General features: G+C 41.8%; 1 protein-coding gene and 2 long non-coding RNA genes across 3 annotated transcripts in view, besides 5 other annotated features; 2 read left to right on the top strand and 1 right to left on the bottom strand.

Annotated features, from left to right (window-relative positions):
• Nucleotides 668–962: an enhancer, noted in NCBI's record as "tiled region #4744; K562 Activating DNase matched - State 5:Enh". NCBI's record gives its function as "activates a minimal TATA promoter and a strong SV40 promoter by Sharpr-MPRA in K562 cells {active_cell/tissue: K562}" and the evidence as "EXISTENCE:reporter gene assay evidence [ECO:0000049][PMID:27701403]".
• LOC124904456 (uncharacterized) lies at nucleotides 2,481–9,189 on the top strand. Its single transcript, XR_007066738.1, has 2 exons — nucleotides 2,481–2,844; nucleotides 5,510–9,189. It is a non-coding gene; the product is annotated as an uncharacterized LOC124904456 (long non-coding RNA).
• Nucleotides 5,076–5,276: a silencer, noted in NCBI's record as "peak459 fragment used in MPRA reporter construct". NCBI's record gives its function as "represses an SCP1 promoter by STARR-seq MPRAs in K562 erythroleukemia cells {active_cell/tissue: K562}" and the evidence as "EXISTENCE:reporter gene assay evidence [ECO:0000049][PMID:32103011]".
• Nucleotides 9,137–20,617, bottom strand: PRDX6 (peroxiredoxin 6). The gene is made up of 5 exons (NM_004905.3): nucleotides 20,460–20,617; nucleotides 16,470–16,626; nucleotides 12,445–12,591; nucleotides 11,551–11,697; nucleotides 9,137–10,217 (listed from the first exon to the last, which is right to left on the bottom strand). The coding sequence occupies exons 1-5, from the start codon at nucleotides 20,552–20,554 to the stop codon at nucleotides 10,089–10,091; spliced, it is 675 nt and encodes a 224-aa protein (NP_004896.1). The 5' UTR covers nucleotides 20,555–20,617; the 3' UTR covers nucleotides 9,137–10,088.
• Nucleotides 20,419–20,578: an enhancer, noted in NCBI's record as "active region_2113". NCBI's record gives its function as "activates an Ori minimal core promoter by ATAC-STARR-seq in GM12878 lymphoblastoid cells {active_cell/tissue: GM12878}" and the evidence as "EXISTENCE:reporter gene assay evidence [ECO:0000049][PMID:35858748]".
• Nucleotides 20,649–20,818: a silencer, noted in NCBI's record as "silent region_1555". NCBI's record gives its function as "represses an Ori minimal core promoter by ATAC-STARR-seq in GM12878 lymphoblastoid cells {active_cell/tissue: GM12878}" and the evidence as "EXISTENCE:reporter gene assay evidence [ECO:0000049][PMID:35858748]".
• LOC100506023 (uncharacterized) overlaps nucleotides 20,797–21,705 on the top strand; it is a 242,096-nt gene continuing 241,187 nt past the window's right edge. The window contains exon 1 of the long non-coding RNA NR_037845.1: nucleotides 20,797–21,320. This is a non-coding gene — a long non-coding RNA (uncharacterized LOC100506023). The remainder of the gene's footprint in view (nucleotides 21,321–21,705) is intronic.
• Nucleotides 21,076–21,612: an enhancer, noted in NCBI's record as "H3K27ac hESC enhancer chr1:173445479-173446015 (GRCh37/hg19 assembly coordinates)". NCBI's record gives its function as "activates a minimal SCP1, AML or CMV promoter by ChIP-STARR-seq in naive H9 embryonic stem cells {active_cell/tissue: H9 hESC(naive)}" and the evidence as "EXISTENCE:reporter gene assay evidence [ECO:0000049][PMID:30033119]".

Below are 21,705 nucleotides of genomic sequence, written 5' to 3'. Positions count from 1 at the left end.
AACAATTGACAAGGAAATTTGTTACCTCTGTGGCATACAATGATTTTATGCAACAATTATAATTGTTACTGATAATGTACACTAAGTCATATCAGAATTATAGGAGTTTCCCATAATTTTGGAATATATACCAATAACACATTTATGAAAATACAGCCCAAAGAAAACCAAACACCATTTTATATTTCAGAATACTTCCTGTATGACTTTCTTACCAAATAAGCCAAATGTCACTGTTGCATTAGTGCATTATTTATGTCAAACCCAATTCTTAATAAAACCTTATAAATAAATCCATCCAATCTTAGTCAGTTTGACCATAAAGTAAGATTCTCATAAGCCTTTTATAACCCTTTACAAGTTTTTGTTAAAGAGCAGAAGCATGGTTTTGCTCTAAGAAAAACCTGTTGTGCTTTTATTCCAATGTTTAATTTATAGAAAAACTGAATAATATCCCTTAATTTAGCCAATGTCCACATACAGACTCTCTTTTATATATATATATATTTTTACAAACCTTCCACATTTGTTTAAACCTTTAGCTTTATTCTATCCAACTTAAAACAATTCTTTAACCCTTTAGGCAAAAAAAAACTACATTCTCATGCCTTTTTATAATCTTTTACCAAAAATATATTTTACTTTCCTTACACACCTTACATGTAAAAGTGTTTCTTCAATAGTCTCAATTACATGTTACAACATTAACTTTTAGTGACTTTTACTTTTGGTGGAAGCCCTGGTTAGTAAGCAATTTGAATTGTGTACTAGGTGTGGAGCCTAGCCCAGGACACACCAGGCAGAAGTGCAGATAAGGGCTGACTCTCCAGCATAGCTAGGGGTGTGGCTAACTCCACATGTTCCCATGCCTTACCTAGCAGTAACGCAGGCAAGTTGTACAGTAGGAGTCATAGTGGCATTTTATGAAGCATTTAGGAGGCCTAACAACCTTTGAATTGTACGACATTTCTTGCATAAATTCCCTTTCACAAATCTTTTCACAACTTACACAGACCATCTGAGACATTCTTGGACTTTCTGATTTGTCCTAAACATCCTTCCTTTTAAACAACCAGTCATTTTACTTTAGGACAAGAGTTTACCATACAAGATCCTTTTTTATATAAAATCTCTTTTTAAATAATCTTCTTTGTATAGGTAGGGTACATGGCTAATTTCACATGTCCCCAAGCCTTATCTAGAATCTAATGGCTTTAAGGTAGGTAAATTGAACAATTTTTAAAAGTCAAAGAAGCAATTTATGACCTTAAAGCATTTAGCAAACTTAATATCTGATCTGCATAATTTAGACTGAACGTTTTTATCAAAATTTTAAAGCTGTTTTTATTTCCCCAAAATTATTAAAGTTACACGAACTAAAAGGCATTACAGTTTTTATTTTGCTTTCAAAATATTTGATTTGTGTTTATTTTTGTTTAAGCCAATTAATGAGTTCTTTTATATAAACATTACACACAACACATATATAGCTACACAGAAAGACAGAAGATTACTACAGTAGTAGTAAAATTTTTCATTTGCCAATTTTTAAGTTTTGTAATTGGATTACTGGCTTTAGGGTGGAGCCCTTGGAAGAAAAGGGCCAGGAAAGAGGTCTCTGGTGCCTCCTATTTTTCCCAAGGAGTCCAGGCTGTTAGAGCTTGAACTGATTCTAACCATAGCACTCTTTAATAAAGTCCTTTTAGAATTTCTTATGCCAAACGGCCGATATTTCTGGCTTTTGAACTTTACCAAAGGTAACCTCCCGGGTGATTAGAGAAAGGAAAATTTAAGACAGTCCATGGAGGAGAATAGAACAGACAAAATCATGCAGATATTAAACCAGAAACAACTCACTTCCTAGGTGGGGAATTGAACCTGGACTGCAACTGTGAAAGTGCAAAAACCTTTGTTACTGAGCTACAGCACAGGGCAGTCTCCATTTTCTTTCCCAGAAGGAGTTTAGAGTAGTTGATTTCGAGCTCGCAAAGGCTTTTAACTATTTAATATGATTTTTAGAGCTAACTATGACATGAACCCTAAAATTCCTGTTCCCTGAAGGCGGAGACCAAAAGAATGTACCGCCACGTGGTTAAAAGGTCAAGCTCCCAAGGACATAAAACAAGGTGGAGACTTCATCCAGTTTTTTTGGTTTGTTTGTTTTAGGGACCTGCAGCCAAGTTTGCTACTGACCAGCCTGCTGGGTCTTCTTGAAAAGCAGGCTTACAGGTGTTCTAAGCCCATGTTTTATCCTGAAGTACCCCTCAAAACAGAAAAACAAATTTATACTACAAAATACATCAGCTTAAGACTAGCCCTAGAATTCTTTTTCACATTAATCAAAACTTTACAGAGGAAATAAACACCGTTTTTGTTTGTTTGTTTTTTACCATTCATTTAACCATTTGCACAGAGAGAGAGAAGCCAGAAAGCTGACTGGTAAGAAATTCTTACCCTTTTGCTGGCATGCCAGGCTTCTGGCTTCCCTTTCCTTGAGCGGCCCTAGTGATCTGGCTTGTGGCACCATTGCCCTGGGGACCAAGCCGCATCATAAAGGAAAATTATTTTTTTCATTCTGACCAGAGCAAAATACATGTGATAAAACATAGACATTAGCCACTCTGCTTAGCACCCAATATCAAACTGGCAAGGCTTAAATTTGCCCCCAGATGTGCCCTGTCATCTTTAATCCAACCTCTGACTTAGAGTTTCAACATGTGGTCTCTGGACAAGATGGCTGCCATGAATAACGAAAAGATAGGAAAAGAAAAGTAGAGCCAGGAGCAGTGGCTCACACCTGTAATCCTAGCACTTTGGGAGGCCAAGGCGGATGGATCACCTGAGGTCAGGAGTTTGAGACCAGCCTGGTTAACATGGTGAAAACCTGTCTCTACTAAAAATACAAAAATTAGCTGGGCATGGTGGTGGGTGCCTGTAATCCCAGCTACTAGGGAGGCTGAGGCAGGAGAACCACTTAAACCCGGGAGGTGGAGGTTGCAGTGAGCCGAGATCACACCACTTCACTCCAACCTGAGCGAAACAGTGAAACTCCATCTCAAAAAAAAAAAAAAGAAAAAAGTAGAGAAGGAAAGTATGCCTGTGGCAGGGTGGGGAAGGTGAAGAGCTTAGGGAGGCCAGAGAAACCCACTTATTCCATCCGACAATGAAAAAGTTCGGGTGGCCGCTTGTCGGTAGCAAACAAGTCTCTTCCAGCAGTCCCATTAGCTCTCAAGTTTCCCCTTTTAGGGATGGAAAAGTTCCCCATGTCCCATGATCCTGTACATGCCTAATCCTGTCACCCACAGCTGTCAGCAAAGAGTGCAAGGCAAATTAATACAACGAGAATAGCAGTTAACATTCCATAGTACCAAACCTGTTCTTAGGGACTTTACTGAGAGGGGCCTCTAACCAACCCCCTAAATCTTAGAAGGGACTCTAACCGTCCTAAGTTGGGCCTGTAACCCAAGGTTGGTCAAACGTCCTTGCCTTTTATTAAGAGAGGCCTTTAACCCACTCAGTCTTAGGAGAGATTCTAACTCCCCTAAGGTGGGCCTCTAACTCAATTCCATTCTTTACCTGGGTACCCCACCACTTACCCCAAGTCATCCAATCAGTGCTGCCGTCTATTTTCCTTGGGTTTTGGGGGGGTCTCCTCGGTATTGTCCCTTTTGTGGTTACATCCAGAAAGATGTTACTGGACCCCACCACTTACCCAAAGTTAGCCTTTGGGTTGGGGGTTTCTGCAGTACAGTCACTTCCCTTGTCATCAGAAAGATGTTACAGGACCCCACTACTTACGCAAAGGTAGCTGTTGGGTCAGGGTTTCTGCACGATAGTCCCTTTGTGGTCGCCAGAAATACGTTACAGGAAAGGGGTGCAGATCCAGACCCCAAGAGAGGGTTCTTGGATCTTGTGCAAGAAAGAATTCAAGGCCAGTTCACAGTGCAAAGTGAAAGCGAGTTTATTAAGAAAGTAAAGAAATAAAAGAATGGTTACTCCATAGACACAGCAGCCCCGAGGGCTGCTGGTTGCCCATTTTATGGTTAGTTCTTGATGATACGCTAAACAGGAGGCAGATTCCCTTTTTAGACCATATAGGGTAACTTCCTGATGTTGCCATGGCATTTGTAAACTGTCATGGCACTGGTGGGAGTGTAGCAGTGAGGACGACCAGAGGTCACTCTCGTGGTCATTTTGCTTTTGGTGGGTTTTGGCTGGCCTACTGCAACCTGTTTCATCAGCAAGGTCTTTATGACCTGTATTTTGTGCTAACCTCCTATCTTATCCTGTGACTCAGGAGGCCTTAACTGTTGGGGAACACAGCCCAGTAGGTTTCAGTCTCATTTTACCCTGCCGAGACCAGCTCGGTCAGGGAGACCCTAACCCAGCAGCGCTAGAGGAATTAAAGACACACACACAGAAATATAGAGGTGTGGAGTGGGAAATCAGGGGTCTCACCGCCTTCAGAGCTGAGAGCCTCGAACAGAGATTTACCCACATATTTATTAACAGCAGGCCGGTGATAAGCATTGTTTCTATAGATTATAGATTAACTAAAAGTACTCCTTATGGGAAACAAAGGGATGGGCCGAAATAAAGGGATGGGTTTGGCTAGTTATCTGCAGCAGGAGCATGTCCTTAAGGCAAAGATCGCTCATGCTATTGTTTGTAGTTTAAGAACGCCTTTAAGAGGTTTCCACCCTGGGTGGGCCAGGTGTTCCTTGCCCTCATTCCAGTAAACCCACAACCTTCCAGCGTGGGCGTCATGGCCATCATGAACATGTCACAGTGCTGCAGAGATATTGTTTATGGCCAGTTTTAGGGCCAGTTAATGGCCAGATTTTGGGGGGCCTGTTCTCAACATTACCCAGCTCCTATTTAAGATGGAGTTGCTCTGGTTCACACACCTCGGACAGAGGTAAGAATAGAAGGGAATACAAGAGAAGAAATCAAGTTCAAACTATTAAGAAACTTCTATACCTAGCTTAATAAGGCAGTATTTCTCAGCATGGTCCTTGGAGCATCTGTGTGTCAACAAATATGAGGTGTTTCTGAACATTACAGAAACCTGACCACAGTGGCATAACCACATAGGGGTTCATCTTTCCAGTTTAATAGGATGTCTGGAAATAGGCAGACAGGAGTGGTGCAGCTGCTTCAGGATGTTATTATGGACCCAGGGTTCCTGTAGCCTACTTCTTCTTCATCCTTGGCTTGTGATATTTATCCTCATGGTGGCAAAACAACACCTGTTAACACCAGGCCTCCCGATTGTTTTTCAGGAGTAGGGCTAAGAGCTTTCCCCTAATGAGGCTTTGCCTTTTCAGTTAGGAAGGGACCTGACCCTAGGCCAGAACTGTCACATGGCCACACCTATTTCAAAATTCACCTTGAGATGAAATGGCACCTCACCTTGTTACCCTAATGCAATCTTGGTGTTCTTAGTAAGGCTTAAGAGGGAAATGGGTATTGGTGGAACAACAGCAGTATTTGTTGTATTCTGTCACAGGTCACCTGGGTTGTCAAAAGTGAATTTGTGAGCTGTGTGTGGTGGTATGTGCCTGTAATCCCAGCTGCTCAGGAGGCTGAGGCAGAAGAATCCCTTAAGCTCAGGAGTTGGAGGCTAGCCTGGACAACATAGTGAGACCCTGTGTCTAAAATATTGTTTTAAAGTTAAATAAAATGGATTTATAGCCACCTATGGAATCAATCCCTGAGGGTAGGCCTTTGGGCTCTGCATTTTAATGTGCTCCTCAGGTGGTTTAGTGCAGATTGAAGCCTGAGTTCCATAAGTATAGGTGATAGAGTAGTAGAAGAAAACATACGTCTGTTTGTTTAGGAGGCAGTACATCACCATATATTTGAGACAACTAGAGGATAATACTTCATCCCATGCATATGTTAGGATACTGTGGGCTGCAAGTACCAGAAAACCCAACTCAGACTTAAATACTAAAGAAATTTTTATGTAATGCAAGTTAAAAGGCAGGACATATTTGTGATTGGTAGACTCAGTGAAGGTCATCAAATATCAGTTTTTCTTTCTCTCCACTCTGCTGTTTACCTTTTCAGCCTCATTCTATGGCTGATTCACTACTCCTAGGTTGTAAGACAGCTACCAGCAGCAATTAGTGCTTCATGTTTTCTTGTTTATATCCAGTGGGAGACAAACAAATGCTTACAATTGCTCTCCAGAGTGAGAAAGAATTCTAGAAACCTCCAACAATCCTCCATTTGTGTCTCATCAGCAAGAAGTGAACTACATGGCCATTTCTGAATGACAAGAGGGTAGCGATGGCCTTTTAACCAGTTAACGCTATGCCCATTTAGCTAGAATCAAAGTTGTCAGCATTTCCTCAATTTGCATTGTTTCAAAGAGGAAGGCTCAAATGGATGTGAGGGAGTATATCCCTATGCCAGTTCACTGCACCCAGTAATTGGCATCCTGACTTGGCCATTTAGGCACAGCCATTCTGGCTTCTCATCCCTTTGCTGAGCTTCTCACTGCAGATCCCTATCTTTTGGTTGGAGGTTGGGGGTAAGATCAGACTTTTGACAAGACCACAACAAAGGAATCACAGGTCTATCACTTTGGTCACCTTAGAAGACTAGCCAAAGCATTTCCTAACTCTTTGAGGTCGCATAGACTGCCTCTGAAGTTGTATTTCTTTCATAGCTGCAGTAGCCACACATTAATTCACTTGCTATAAATAAATCATTGGATGCATAATGAAATTTATTCTTTTCTATGAAAATTGAGGGCAGCAATTCTCATAAGGGGACTCTACTCTCCCTGCCTAATAGTGTTACAGTCATGCGTCACGTAACAGTGCTTCAGACAAATGATGGACCACATTTATGACAGTGGTCCCATAAGGCTTTAACGGAGCATTTATAGAAACCTAATATATTGCATTTGATGTTGGCATTGCAGATCAAGCAGGGAAATGACTGATATTCAGTAATGATGCTGGGACATTTGGTTTTCAATATGATAAAATATATAGAAAATAAAAATATATACCATCTAGGTTTGTATAAGTACACTCTATGTAATGTTCACACAACAAAGAAATTGGCTAATGGTGCTTTTCTTAGAATATATCCCGGTCATTAAGCAATGCATGACTGTGTTTAAAAATGTACTTAAGGATCACTTCTACCCTGGAAATGCATATTCATTAGGTAATATTTTATGTTTGGAAAAGAATACTTGCACAAGGTCTCATGGCTTCATGGCTGCTTAGTGACAGAACCAGAATTCAATTTGAGGGTACATGACCCATTTTCTTTGAGCTCTCTTTCAGCATTTTTATACTGACATCATCTATACTGGTAGAATAGTATATATAGCCAAGCACACACCAAGGCTGAATAAGAGGTAAGAGGGACAATAGATAGGTTTGAGGTTGGAGAAAACGTCGACGAATCCCATTTAGAATTTGCAAATTAAACAGCAAATATTCCATCCATCTGTAAACAAGATTCCAATCTGAGTAACTCATGTTGGAGATTTAAACTCTGAACTAGCACCATAAAAAAGGTGAAGCCAGACTCTCCATGAGAGAGGCAAGAACAAAAGAGGCAAATATCCAAGTGAAGAGAAGAGAGCAGTAAGGACCCTGATAGGGAAACAACAGGAGCCGGGGATAGTCAGATTTGCTGTAAGAGGACAGAGAGCATTTATTTATTTAAGAGACTGGGTCTATGTTGCCCAGGTTAGACTTGAACTCCTGTGCTCCAGCAATCCTTCTGCTCTCAGCCTCCCAAGTAGCTGGAACTACAGGCGCATGCCACCATGCTCAGCAGTATTAGCTCAGGGCAAAATATACTGAAATGGGGAGGAATGAGAGCAGGAAGCTAGCTAGCCCTTTTGTCTCTTTCAAACCAGCATTCCCCAGAATTGGAATTTCTACCTACGTTCTTGACCTTCTTAGTGTTACTCAAATTCTACATGTGGAGTAATCAAGGAAACTAAAGGCTTAATGACCTGTCTCTCATGTGGCATTAGGGCTTGTTTTACATTATTCTACTCAATAAAAATATAGAGGTTTTGACCGGGCGCATTGGCTCATGCCTGTAATCCCAGCACTTTGGGAGGCTGAGGCGGATGGATCACGAGGTCAAGAGTTTGAGACCAGCCTGGCCAATATGGTGAAATCCCGTCTCCACTAAAAACACGAAAATTAGCTGGGTGTGGTGGTACGTGCCTGTGGTCCCAGCTGCTCGGGAGGCTGAGGCAGGAGAATTGCGTGAACCCAGGAGGCAGAGGTTGCAGTGAGCCGAGATTGTGTCACTGCACTCCAGCCTGGACAGGGTGAGACTGTCTCAAAAAAAAAAAAAAAAAAAAAAAAAAGGTTTCATACAAAGGACTTATACCAGGTGCTATGGACTGAATGTGTCTCCTCAACATTCTTATGTTAAAGCCTAATCCCCAGTGTGATAGTATTTGGATGAAGGGCCTTTGGGAGGTAATTATTAGGTCATGAGGGTGGAGCCTTCGTGAATGGGATTAGTGACCTTATGAGACGTTGAGCGATGATCCCTCTCTTGGTCATGTGAGGATACAACAAGAAGGCAGCAAACTACAACCCAGGAAGCAGGTCCTCGCCAGACAGGATTTACCAGTGCTTTGATCTTGGACTTCCAGTCTCCAGAAATGTGAGAAATGTTTGTTGTTTAAGCCACCCAGTCTGTAGTATTTTTGCTATAGCAGCCCAAGCAGACTAAGACATCGTAAATGGGACACCCTTTTCTAAACCTGGCACTTATTAGTAGAGTATAATCAAAGTCTGAGAGAGTATTAGTTCAGAGCAGCAAAAAGCACAGATGTACCATTATCTTTGAGGTTCACATTCCTACACCCAGCAATCCCATTAAGGAATTAGGTTAAGAGAGCTCTTTATACCAGGGATCATAACATCATGGGACTGTAGGATCCAAACAAGTAACATGAAGGAGCAAAGTGGACCAAGATATGTGGTGACATCACACGTTCTTCAGCTGTTCCTCCATTTTCATTATATAAAATCTTATGTATCTGTCTTTGGAAGAAATTACTCATGCCAATCCTAGGAAGAAGGAAGCCTCTGCCCTTTAGGACATAAATCTGATACTTCAAAATATGACAACAGAATTCTCTGACCCAGTTTTAACAAAGGATTTTATTTTGTTCCCTAAAAAGTAAAATCTAGAAAATAGCAACCCACTGCAAGAAGAGTTCTATACTAAAACATTTTCAATCATTCTCTCTTCTCTTCACATGGTGTACTCTTTCATGTACACATCATCGGAAAACAGACTGATAAATGCAAACCCTGTGTGAAAGGCACATGGCACTAATATTGCTCACACCTGCTACACCTCCTTGGGAGCCAAGGGAAGCCTTTTCTGCAATCTCCCCATTTTGATAGAAACTTATCACAAATTTTTTTATAGCAAAATATTTAAAGGTCTCTTTCCCTGCTCTTCACTTATCTACTAGGAAGGTATAGAATTAAAAAGCTTTTTTTCCCCCAGCTGTGATCAAGATGTATTAAAAGAATATGAAAGAGCATCTGGGTTATTCTAGAAGTTCTGTGATCAAAACATATTAAAAAAAATTAAAGCGCATCTGGGTTATTCTAGAAGTTCCTGGGCTTTATACTTGGATATTTACAGAGGAAGTTGAACTTCAAGTTCTGCCACTCTTCAAAATGGGTGACAGGAGAGGACGTGATAGGACAGTTAAAAAAAAATTGATAGTCATTCTCTGATGGAGTGAAGCAAGCTTTGTCAACCATCAACAAATATGACTTCATTGGTCACAAGCCCTGCAGAGATCCAACAAGATTTGAGTTTTAAATACAGAACATATTTCAAACAGAACCAGCAGAGTGCTGATGTATGAATGGAATTGATTGCTGAAGGCAGAGAGTATAAAGAATCTCAAGAAACTTTTAGTGCCATTTTCATTTAATAAGCCATTGGTATAGCAACCTAAAAACCTTGGCTGTGATGACACCAGGATGTGTTTATGGAATTGCTGCAGGAAAACACAATTGGCAGCTGACATCCTCTGGCTCACAGCACCAGCTTCTCCAAGAGACTTAAGGCTGGGGTGTGTAGCGGAGGTATTTCTTGCCAGATGGGAGCTCTTTGGTGAAGACTCCTTTCGGGAAAAGTTTTTTGGCTTCTTCTTCAGGGATGGTTGGAAGGACCATCACACTATCCCCATCCTATTGAAAGACATTGAGAATGGTGAAATTCAATCTCATAGTGAAGCTTCAAGGCCTTCAGGAATTAACTTTAGAAAAGTAGCTACAGGTGCTAATGAGACTAATCAAGTGTTCTTTACTCTCCCCTCTGTGAGGATTTTGTTTTCCAAGTTGATCTTTGGCACTTTTGGCAGGAAAGCAGTTCCCCCATCTTAACAAGAAACAGTCCTGTTTTAAACCCAGTAACAGCTGGCCACCACACTTTACATTTAATTCTGAGTATCATGGCCTGCAAGCCCTGTGTGATGGAATCCTGCCTCCTCTCATCTCTTGTCCCTCACCCCACCTTCTGCAGCTTCTTCTCCAAGCATGCTAGCTTTCCTTGTATTCCTCCAACATGCCAAGCTCACTTGTAGGCCCAGTTTCTTGCACTAACTGCTCCTTCTGCCTATAGTGCTCGTCCCTCACAAGTATACATGCCTTGGTCACATCTTCTCTGTGTTTTTCTCCAAAGGTCCCTTCATAGACAGGCATTCCTTGACAGTCACTCTCCCACCCCTGTGCTGTTATTCTCCCCATCTGTGCTTGATTCTTCCCTGTAGCACCTGTTATCACCACTTAATAAACTTGTTTACTGTTTGTCTCCACTCACTGGAATGGAAGTTCTATGAGGGCAAGGACTTTCTATTATTCACTGCTATCTCCCCAGTTCACTACTATCTGGGCTCAATAAGTACATAAATAAGTAATAATAAGTTAACTAGTGGATACAGAATTTAAGTGATTTGTCTGTCAGAAAAAAACAAAACAAAACCTGCTATTCAGGTTAGCATTATTTTAAAAATGTAGCAATGTTAAGATACTCTTGTGATGTTATCCATGTCCTAAAGATGAAAAGTTTATGAACAAATTTTGGAGAATTCTAGCACAGGTTTAAAAGAATGAAGCTTAAGAGAAATTAAATACTTAATGACATTAATACACCAGTACTTTTACAGCCATGACTTAACGGAAATGGCCAATTAAGATTGTGCGATAAATATTTTGCCATCAGGGAAGGGTTAGATAAAATTTTTTTTTTTAAACCTTCTATTAGGAAAAGGAATCATTCTGACCAATAATTTTTCCAAATTATCTAAAAGTTGGAAAGCCATATAGGGAGTTTGTGTTGTGTATAAAAGGTGTTATAAAGACCTTGAAAAGGGCCTTTCAGCAAATCTTGAACTCAGCCATGAGGAAAAATCCTCCCAGTGTACTTGCGTGCTAGAAACAGGTAACACAGACCTTGAAGTTGGCCATTTAGAGACTGGCCCTTCAGGCAAGTAGAGAAACTGCTTTTTAAAAACATCTTTACCTTCCAATCAACTGGGGTGGCAACCCTTTTTTCTGCTGTCAGCTGGAGAGAGATGACTACCCTGAGAATCTCATCAAAGTTCCTGCCAGTGGTAGCTGGGTAGAGGATAGACAGCTTCAGCTTCTTATCAGGACCAAAAACAAACACCTGTAAAGCACAGAGGGGCATAAATAGGAAGAGTTCTTTGAGTGTTATTAAAGCCACTTAGAAAGCTCTGCAGTCATTAATAATGTTCAAGGGTATAAAAACAAGACAAAAACAAAGCATCTAGAAGGATACACCAACTGCTAATGTGGATGGCTGGAATACAGATAATTTTCTTCTCCCTGTTATTTTCTAAACGTAGAAGGGAATTCTATTTGGTTCTGGCTTTCCCAGTAAGAAAAACTGATATGCAAATTTAATCGAGGGAAAGGCTGTGTCAATTGGGGATGACTATCATAAAAATAATACTAATGGGAGTTGATATTGTTCCTTGAATAGTTGTGCATTTATTCAGATGAGGGATTGGGTTTGTTTTCTAGTGGGCGGAGGACAGAACAAATAAAAATTTAAAACAGAGCTGCCTTATGAAGAAGGATATGGCCCATCACTTTAAAGACAGGGCGGTCAGGAGAGCAGTCAGGAGAGCTATGAAAAGGTTTCTCAATTCTGGAAGACATTTTAGGATAAACAACTTTTTTTTTGTAGATTTCCATGAACTATGAATAAAGCAGTTGGAAAATTTAGCTGAAAATTGCATCAGCATTACAGATAATCAGTGATATTGTCGCCAATACACAGTTATTTCATAATCGTAGATATTCCCCTATCTCCTCTAGCTGGTACCAGCATTTACACGGACATACAGCCTGATCAGTTAAGCTAACTACAAAATGAATTTGTATGACCTACCACACGAGCTGTCACAGGCATGCCCTTTTCATCCTTCTCTGCTGGATCCAGCATGCCCAACAGGATGGCAAGCTCCCGATTCCTATCATCGATGATGGGAAAAGGTAACTTTTCTGTGGGCTCTTCACAATTGTAAGCATTGATATCCTGAAACACAAGTAAAAGGGGAAAGAGGAATCTAAACCCAACACATGCTCTGAATTTCATCAGTTAACAGCCATCACCTTGCAAGACAGGAAAGAGGACCAAATCACAGTAATTTTCTTTAAGCAATTTTAATTTTAAAAAGTGAGTAGATGAACACTCTTCATTCCAATTATTGCCAGGAATAACAGCAGAGTACAGTACTTAGGTTGTAATCATGGACCAAAGCTGTTTTCATGCCCAGTTCTCTTAAATTCAGCATGCTTTTACTGCTATGAGAAAATAGCAGCAACCCCTTTAAAATTGCAATAATTTAGTTAGATCCAAATACAAGGTACCTCTGGGTACCCAAATACTGTAAAAATCATCAGATAACAATAGGTTTGTTAAATCCATCACATCTAGAAATAATGCCATATGTAAAGAAAATCTTATAGATCTGGTCCCTACCTCATAAAGCACCCTGACTCAGATGCTAAGTTACAAGACAAATAAGAAATGACCAAAAAAAAAAAAAACAAATCACAAAACAAAGCAAACACAAGAATGGAGAGTTGAATATATACTTGAAGGACAAGTCAAAAATAAATGGGTGAAGAGGCAGAAGTAAACCTAAACTAGGGTGAAATTCAAAGAGAAAACAAAGCATTTCAAGTCTGAACTAAAGAAAAATGATACACTTCCCTCCTTCCCTAGTAAAACTTTATTCATCCATTTATTTCTACTTTTCCTATCCCTGGAAGCTTTTGGAGAAAAAAAAAATCTAGTTTTGTTATTTGATTAAGCATTGATATAGCACTTAAGGTGGGCTAAGCATTATGGTAAATACATGTGGAATACAGATGAGTAAGACACGGCTCCTCCCTTCAAAGGAACTTCTCATTTGGTTAGAGATGATTCCAGTATGAAGCAGCAGCAAATGCAAGACTAATGTTAAATGGTGGATGGTAAATACTGAAGTATACGAACACTCCCATTTGTAGGACTCCAAAAGTTACAAAAGGCTTCAAGAAAAGAACAGGACTTCTATCTAGGCCCTTGAAGGATGGGTAAGATTTTTCACAGAGAAAAGAAAGGCATTCTAGGAATCAGGAACTATATATATATATGCACACACACATATATATATGTGTATATATATTATATACGTGTGCATATGTATATATATGTATGTGTGTGTGTGTGTATATATATAAATATATATATATATAAATATATATATCTAATTTTTTTTTTTTTTTTTTTTTGAGACAGAGTCTTGCTGTCGCCCAGGCTGGAGTGCACTGGTGCGAACTTGGCTCACCGCAACCTTGGCTCACTGCAACCTCCGCCTCCCAGGTTCAAGCAATTCTCTGCCTCAGCCTCCTGAATAGCTGGGATTACAGGCACCCGCCACCACACCGGCTAATTTTTTTTTGTATTTTTAGTAGAAACGGGGTTTCGCCATCTTGGCCAGGCTGGCCTTGAACTCCTAACCTTGTGATCCACCTGCCTCAGCCTCCCAGAGTGTTGGGATTACAGGCGAGAGCCACTGTGCCCGGCCAGGAACGATATTAATGAAACATGTGGGCAACTCTGTACATAAACTATTGATAGGAGAGTGAGGAACTTAGTTGGATAGAGTTTAGCAAGTAATGGAAAAGAGGATTTAAAATTGGAATAACGTCTATTGTGTGTAGGCTTGAAAGTAAAACAGGGGCTTGATGGCATAGCAGATACAAAACCATTGTGGATTTCTCAACGGAGATGTGACAAATGTGGCATTAATGAGCTCTGAAGTGGATAACAACAAATTCTTTTTATTTATTTATTTTTTTGAGGTGGAGTCTCTGTTGCCCAGGCTGGAGTGCAGTGGCGCGATCTCAGCTCACTGCAGCCTCCACCTCTCGGGTTCAAGCCATTCTCCTGCCTCAGGCTCCCGGATGATAACAAATTGTAACATTCCTTCATTTTATTATCTTAACTTTCTGTTGTCACTGGCTGCTTATGAAGTCACCAGAGCTAAATAATAATTAATATAGTCTCATGCTAGAGGCAGATTATTATATAATCAGTTGTTTGTCAAAGTTGCGGCACTGCTTCTGATAGTTCAGACTTTTTTCCTATTCAATGTAATCACAATTCTGAAAACTTCTAAGGCAGAAGCTCAGCAGGTAAAATAAACCTGAGTATGCGTCTGTCCTTTAAAAGGTATTATATAATGGGCTATAACCGCTTCCTTTGGCAATATGTCACTTTAATTATTGCTGTGCACTAATTCTCTACTCTGCCACTTGCATCATGGGCATTAGATTACACCCATGAACACCAAAGAACCTATCCTAAATTATTTGGCTTTATTCTATCCTAAATTAGGCTAAATCCTACTCTTTATCATCTTGCATTAAAAAGAACATTGATTTGAGGTTGAAATCTCATTGCCATTGGGCAGTCTTGGGCAAGTCCCTCCAACTCTCTGAGTGAAAAAAGTATGTTCAACTGCAAAAACGAAAATGAAAAATGATAGCAAAAACTACAGTTACCACTCACTGAGAAGTGTAAGGAATGAAAAAAAATTCTACTTCAAGACAGATAACTGCCCTTCTTTTTTCTCCTACACATGATTCTTCTAGTCTCAGATATTTAGGATTAACTGGCATTAACTGCTATAGGATGCAGCCACAGACCCCTAACTCACAAGTCAATACATCTTTTATTCAACTGCACGTTTGACATAGTTTCTAGTATACATCCCTCAAAAAGTAGTTATCATTATTACTTAACAGCACAGTGCAGTCAAGTTCTTAAAATGTTTTCAAGGTAAATTCAGACCACCAAATTTACTGTTCAAGTAAATTCTTTTGCTAGAAGTAGGTATTTCCTTCAGTTAATTCATTCAACAAATATTGACTGATCGCCTAGGATATACTGAGTAGTGAGCATTGTTCCAGCAGTGCACTAAACAGGAGTCTCTGTTCCTGCTGAGTTTATACTCTACTAGGAAGAAACAAACAAACTAAATAGGTAGTATGCAGAGTGCTGAGGAGAAGGGGATGGTGAACGTGAAAAGGAGTTATAATTTTAGATAATGAGGACAAGAAAGGCTTTGATGAAATGTCCTGTGAGTTGAGACCCAAAAGAGGTGAGGGTAAGTCACACAGATCCCTGGGAAGTGAGTCTTCTATCTATGATACAGGACATATTTTGAAGGTAGAGCTGACAAGTTTGAGGATAAATCAGATGTATGATGTGAAAAAACATGAAGAATTCAGAATGGCTCCTGGATTTGGGGTGTGAACAACTATAAAAATGTAGTTGCCATTAGCTTAGATGAGTAAAACTCTGGATCTAAGAATGAGGCCTAGTTAGACATGCTAGGTTTGAGATGACTGGACATCCCAGGAGAGATGCTAGGTAGGCAGTGGTTATATGAACCTGGAAGAGTCTGGCATAGAGATGAAAATTTGAGAATCACAGCACATAGATGGTATTTAAAGGTGAGTGGATGAGCTCACCAAGGGAAAGAGTGCAGACAGAAAAGAGATGAGGTCCAAGAAATAAGTTCAGGGTAACTTCAGCATAAATTAGGAGTTGGGAGATGAAGAATCAGTGAGCAGGAACAGCTAGAATGTGGTGTCCTGGAAGTCAAGAAAGGAAAAAGTTTCAGGAGGTACAGTGATCAGCTGGGTTGAATGCTGCTGGCAGGCCAAGAGGAGGGCTGAGAATTGACTGACCAATGGATTTAGCAATGTGATCACTGTGTGGTTCAACTGAAATTTTCAAATAATTAGTGAACTTTGAACCTAAGGCTTACTTGTACCTTAACCTCAAAACCAAGTACTCCATAATTTATAACTTGACCTATAATCTCAGGCTCAAAGCACATGCCAATTGATACTAACCTTGCTCCAGGCAAGATGGTCCTCAACACTGTCTATTGAAAGGGCAATCAACTTAACATTCCTCTTGGCAAATTCTGGTGCCAGCTTTGCAGCTCTGCCAAGCTCTGTGGTGCACACTGGGGTAAAGTCCCGAGGGTGGGAGAAGAGAATGCCCCATCTGAAAGGAAGAAAAACAAGGTCACAATTGAATTAAGAGTTATCACCAACATCACAGAGAATGAAAAGTCACAACTTCTGGATCAAAAACAGGCTTTCTTTTTTAAATGAATGCTTATGATGATATTTACTTTTAAGCTTTTCTGTTGAGGAGTGCTTTTCAATCTACTTACCTCCAGAGAAGCCTATGCTTATAGCCCAATTCAATCAAAGACATGAAATTCAAGATGACACATATTTAAAAAGACTAATGTTAAGGTGTTGCCTCCTTTAATAATTATGGTGCCACCCTGACTCCTTTTTGGCTAATACAATCTGTGCTATTCAAGCCAAGTAGTTCACTGAAAACACTTAATTATTTCTTCTTATCCTTTTCTACATTTTTTTCTAGCATAGACCCTGACATTCAGCTCCAATAATGGATGTCCCAGTATGCCCTGAATCCAAACAAATGCCTGACTGCAATAATAAACAAATTATGTAATCTGAAATAAATAGGTTTCTATCTTCTATTTATATGTAAAAATTAAAGTTGACACTTGGCTTCTCTGAAGCAAGTGGATATAAAATCTTTTGTAAAACCACTTTACTGATCTTACCTGCCAAACATGACACCCAATATTTATACTCTGACAAAACAATAGCACCTTCACAGTTTTACCTATCTCTTCATTTGCAGTTTCTTTTTCTTCTTTCTTCAGACCAAGCAGGTAGAATTTTGATAGCCTGCAATGTAGATTTCTACAACAGCAAATTCTTAGGTAAATACTAATATCTAAGTCATCATTGTCTAAGATTTTATAATTTTGAGCACATTTCAAGCTGTCACGAAGAAAGCTGAAGTACCATTTCCTTCTTCTTGGCAACAGAAACTACTCTTTCAACTGAAAAGGAAAATTTAACACTCAGTTCTCCACATCCCCATCAACTTAAACCATCCTAAACCAGATGATTTAGGCAGGATCCTAAACTAGTAGATAACTAAATCTAGCCTAGATGCCAAGTTGACCTTTCTGAAGTTTCCCTGAGCACAGAGAACAAGCAAAGACAAGGGCACCTCCTTCCTACTTACGGCTGCCACTCAACTCCCAAGGTTTCAAGAAGGAAAAAGATCTTCTTACAAAAAGGATGGAGGGCCCTATGGCAAGACTGGGAGGAAAGTTAGTATTTTTTTTTAAGATTGTGGAGGTGTGCACTATGTTCACTTTACTATGAAGGGCAAAAGGAAGAACATAGAGTATATCTTTTGAAGTAGATAATATCACTATGAGTAAAATCTAGGCCTTAGATTCTATGGAAAACGATCTATTTAATGGTTAGATGAGACTTAACAGAAGGTCTCCAGAAGTTGAGAAGAAATGGAACAGGGCGTTTCCTCCTCTATCGTTAAAAGGAGGATAAATTAGAAAAGTTAGGAGTTCTTTTTCCACTGTGAGTCCATAAAGACTGTTTTGCTGAATCATGCAAAAGGAACTGGTTTTAAGCCAGTTCACGTCCTTCCCTCCCTCAGAAGTGAAACTCCAGTTTACCTCATGGCTACAAATAGGATAAACTCCAAGAATGTCTTACCTTGGCCTTCCTTCCCCTCCAAGTCTTCCTACTGCTGCACTTAAGAGTAATTCAGTGACATGCTCCCATTTTCTTACCCATTTTCAAAAGACAAAAGGTTTCCTCCTTCAAGAGAATGGTTCCCACTTACTAAGCCCCAGAAGACCCCTGGAAAACACATATTTTGCTTAGTGAAGATGTACTATGAAGAAGCTGCTTCTACCACTTAAAGAAACAGCGATAAGGTAAACTCACCCAATGTAGCACCCAACCTCTTTAGTTGTTTACAATGATCAGGGGTAAGGTAGAGAAATACATTTTAATTTTTTCTTCTCAAAAATACCTGGATCAAAAATTGACAGTCTGATTTGGGATCATATACAGAATAGAAAATTGGAAAAATCAGGCAAAAATCCATGTGTTATAAACATATAAAAGGCTCAAACTTCTCTTCCCGGTAAGGTAGGGAATACTATACCTGATCCTAGGCAGACTTGTATATTAGTTAATAAATGCAGATATTTCTACCGTGTTCCTAACTATGGCTCCCTGATAAAGTACCACTTTTGATCAAATCTAGATGGATCTAGAGGCCAATAAACATTAACAAAACCCCAAAAAAGTATGGTTAGCTTAAAAAGTGACAGCATTTATAACTGTTGGCACAGTAAATACGTTTTATGCTAATATTTAATCTATACAAGCTAAGAGTTCTGGAAATAGTTTATGTTTCATGGGGATGGGGGATGAGGGCTGCAGGTAGAAATGGGAAGGAACACAACTCTAAAAATCCCAAGGATTGCTGGAGAAATATTACTACCTAGATCCTAAGTATAAGAATGGCCATAAGCTGTATTTCTAAAGTATTTTTCTGCATTCAAGGTTTGAATATTCCATTTCTCAACCTTTTTCTGGCCTAGTCCTATCTTTCACAAAGCTTAACTTTTCCCTATTCAGTGGCTGGAAAAGGGACTTAAGAGGTTATAAAGGGTTGGATAGGCATATGATGTGTAAGAATCTGTCCCTGGTTCTCTGCACAGCCCTGTCCAATCACTGATTAATTTCATAAGCCTGTCTCCCTGGATACTGTATATAAAAAGGATATAATCTGGGGAAGAACTGTTGTCAAGCCTTGGAGCCCCACAGTGTAGTGGGACCACTAGTACTCCAGAACCATAATATAACTAGACATGCCTGGAATGCTTCTGATGAAAACTAAGCAACTTCCAGTTTGCTGATTCAGGAGCTGTTAAAAAAAAAAAAGGGCAACACCGATTTACTACTCCTATCCATAATGGTAAAACTGCCAAGTCAGATCACAGGTCATCAATTTGGCTATCATCAGCAAGCTCATGTGCTAGAAGCAAGGTAGAAAGCGGAGGGGACAGTGAGGGGCAAGCCACTGGAAAACAAGAGAGTCTCAAAGTTGGGGAGTACACGTGTCCTGGAGCCTGGAACGGCCATCACTAGCAAGAATAGGCCACTCCAGCGGAACAGCGTCAGAAAGTCCTTCCCTCCAAGTGTTGCAAGTTCTGGAATCTCTGAAGGCACACCTACGCAGAGTGTTCTTGGCTCTTCCTAAAGCTGTTATCAAATCATATCTTGGCCATTGGAGGCGGCTCTGGACAAAAAGTCTTTCGGCCACCTACTTGGCAGCTAGTGGTTTTAAATTTCACATTTTGTGCCCAGAAGCCTGCAAATACCACTGCACCCTCAGATGATACGTTGGCCTTCCTGTAACCTATAGCCAGCAGCTGTGTCCTCCGACTTTGGCTTTAGACACCCATCCTCCCCAGGGAGCAAATTCCAGAACGGAGGGTGGGAGGGCGGTGCGACCCTGGGCACTAGTCCGGGGAAGTGATCGTCAATGCCGCCCCGCCCCTGCGCCCTCGGCCTGACCACGCTACCTGCACAGTTTACTAAGACGAGTTAAATGGACAACAAACCCTCCCGCGGGCGGTGAGTTTCCAGAACCCGCAGAACACAATTTTATCCTCCCCACCCCCCACCTTGGCGTGGCCTTGCCCAGCCACGCCGGAGGCGGGGAGGCCAGGAGGGATCGAGTGGCCCGCGCAGGGCAGGCCGAACGGGTGCCAGCTCCCAGCAGCGCAGCCGACGCTGAGCAGAGGCCACACGGCCTGGCGCGCGCCGGAACCAGTGCGGGGGAAGGCGAGGGCGGCGCAGGGGGCTGAGCGGCCGGGAGGACGGCAGGGAGAAGAAACAGGGAAGGCACCTCCGAGTCCGGCGCAACCGAGGCCAGGACAGGGCTACGCGGTGGCCACTTACGAGTCTCCCAGAAAGTCGTGGAAACGGATGCGGCCGACGGTGGTATTGGCCTCAAAGTTGGGAGCCACGTCCCCGAGAAGCAGACCTCCGGGCATGGCGACGGTGATGAGGGGGCGCCGCTGGGACAGCAAGCAACCGGTTGGTTCTGGCGAAGAAGCAGCCTGTCCCAGCGCGCGGAGGAATAAACGAAGGCGCGAGGGGCGGGGACTGGGGCGGCGGGGGCGGGGCCGCGGGAGGCCGGCCGCTGGGGGCCGGGCCGCGGGGGCTGGGCTGGGCGCGGGGCGGGGCGGGGCTGGGCGCGGGGCGGGGCTGGGCCGGGCCGGGCTGGGGCCGGGACGCGGCGCGAGCTGGACTACCGCGGTCGCTGTTGGTGGCGCCGCCGGGCCTGCGACTAGGTGGCATCCTTCAGACACTATAGGCCGTCTCTGCACACGTGATGCGGGGCTCGGTCACGTTGCCCCCTGGAAGCTTGAGGATGCGCCAGGTTTGACTCTGCAGGGCGTACGCGCTTTAGGGATGGAAGGAAGAGGAACGCGGCAGGAAGGCGAGCCCCAAGGTGGAGAATCGCCTGGGCGCGCAGGCTGCGGCGGCTTCGCACAGCCGCCCTGGGCGCTGCACGGGTCCGCGCGCACCCTGCTGCGCACCCACTCGCGGCCAGCTCCCTACAGAGGAGTGGAGTGACTGCTCGACTACCACCCCTCTTTTAGTGTGAGCGTCTGGAGTCCTGACCGCCCCAGCCAGCCCAGCTACGATGAACTGTCTAAGAGGATGTGGCAAGACCCAGAAGTATGGGTGACCTTATGTCAGAGGAAGTGGCTTTCTTATTGCAGCAAAAATTCCCGTACCAATGTCAGTGCTAGGGTAATGTAACTAAACTTTTATTTATTTTTATTCTGCCCTCCCCTTTCTGTTTGTTATGAACCATAAAATATTCAACACAATTATCTTGAAATCTAAATATAAAATTTAAAACATACTCTTTGAGACCTACTGTGTGCAGGTCAACTCTGTCACCCAGGGAGGTGGGCGGCTTAGATTCATTTATTTGCTATGAGCCAAGTACAAGGTAGATAAGATGCCTGTCCTCTTGGAGCTTTCCTTCTTGTGAAGGGAAACCGGTGACAGACAATAAGCACACAAACCAAAATATGTTAGACAGCAATCAGTCGTATTCAGAGAACTAAAATAGGGTTATGTGCCTAGAGGGTGACTGGGGGGCTGCTTTGGTTTGGGTGGTCTGGTCTGG

The sequence above is a fragment of the Homo sapiens genome, chromosome 1 (assembly GCF_000001405.40).
Source record: "Homo sapiens chromosome 1, GRCh38.p14 Primary Assembly".
Classification (NCBI taxonomy): Eukaryota; Metazoa; Chordata; class Mammalia; order Primates; family Hominidae; genus Homo; species Homo sapiens.
The sequence above is the reverse complement of the archived record's forward strand: the minus strand, read 5'-3'. Positions and strand labels throughout refer to the sequence as shown.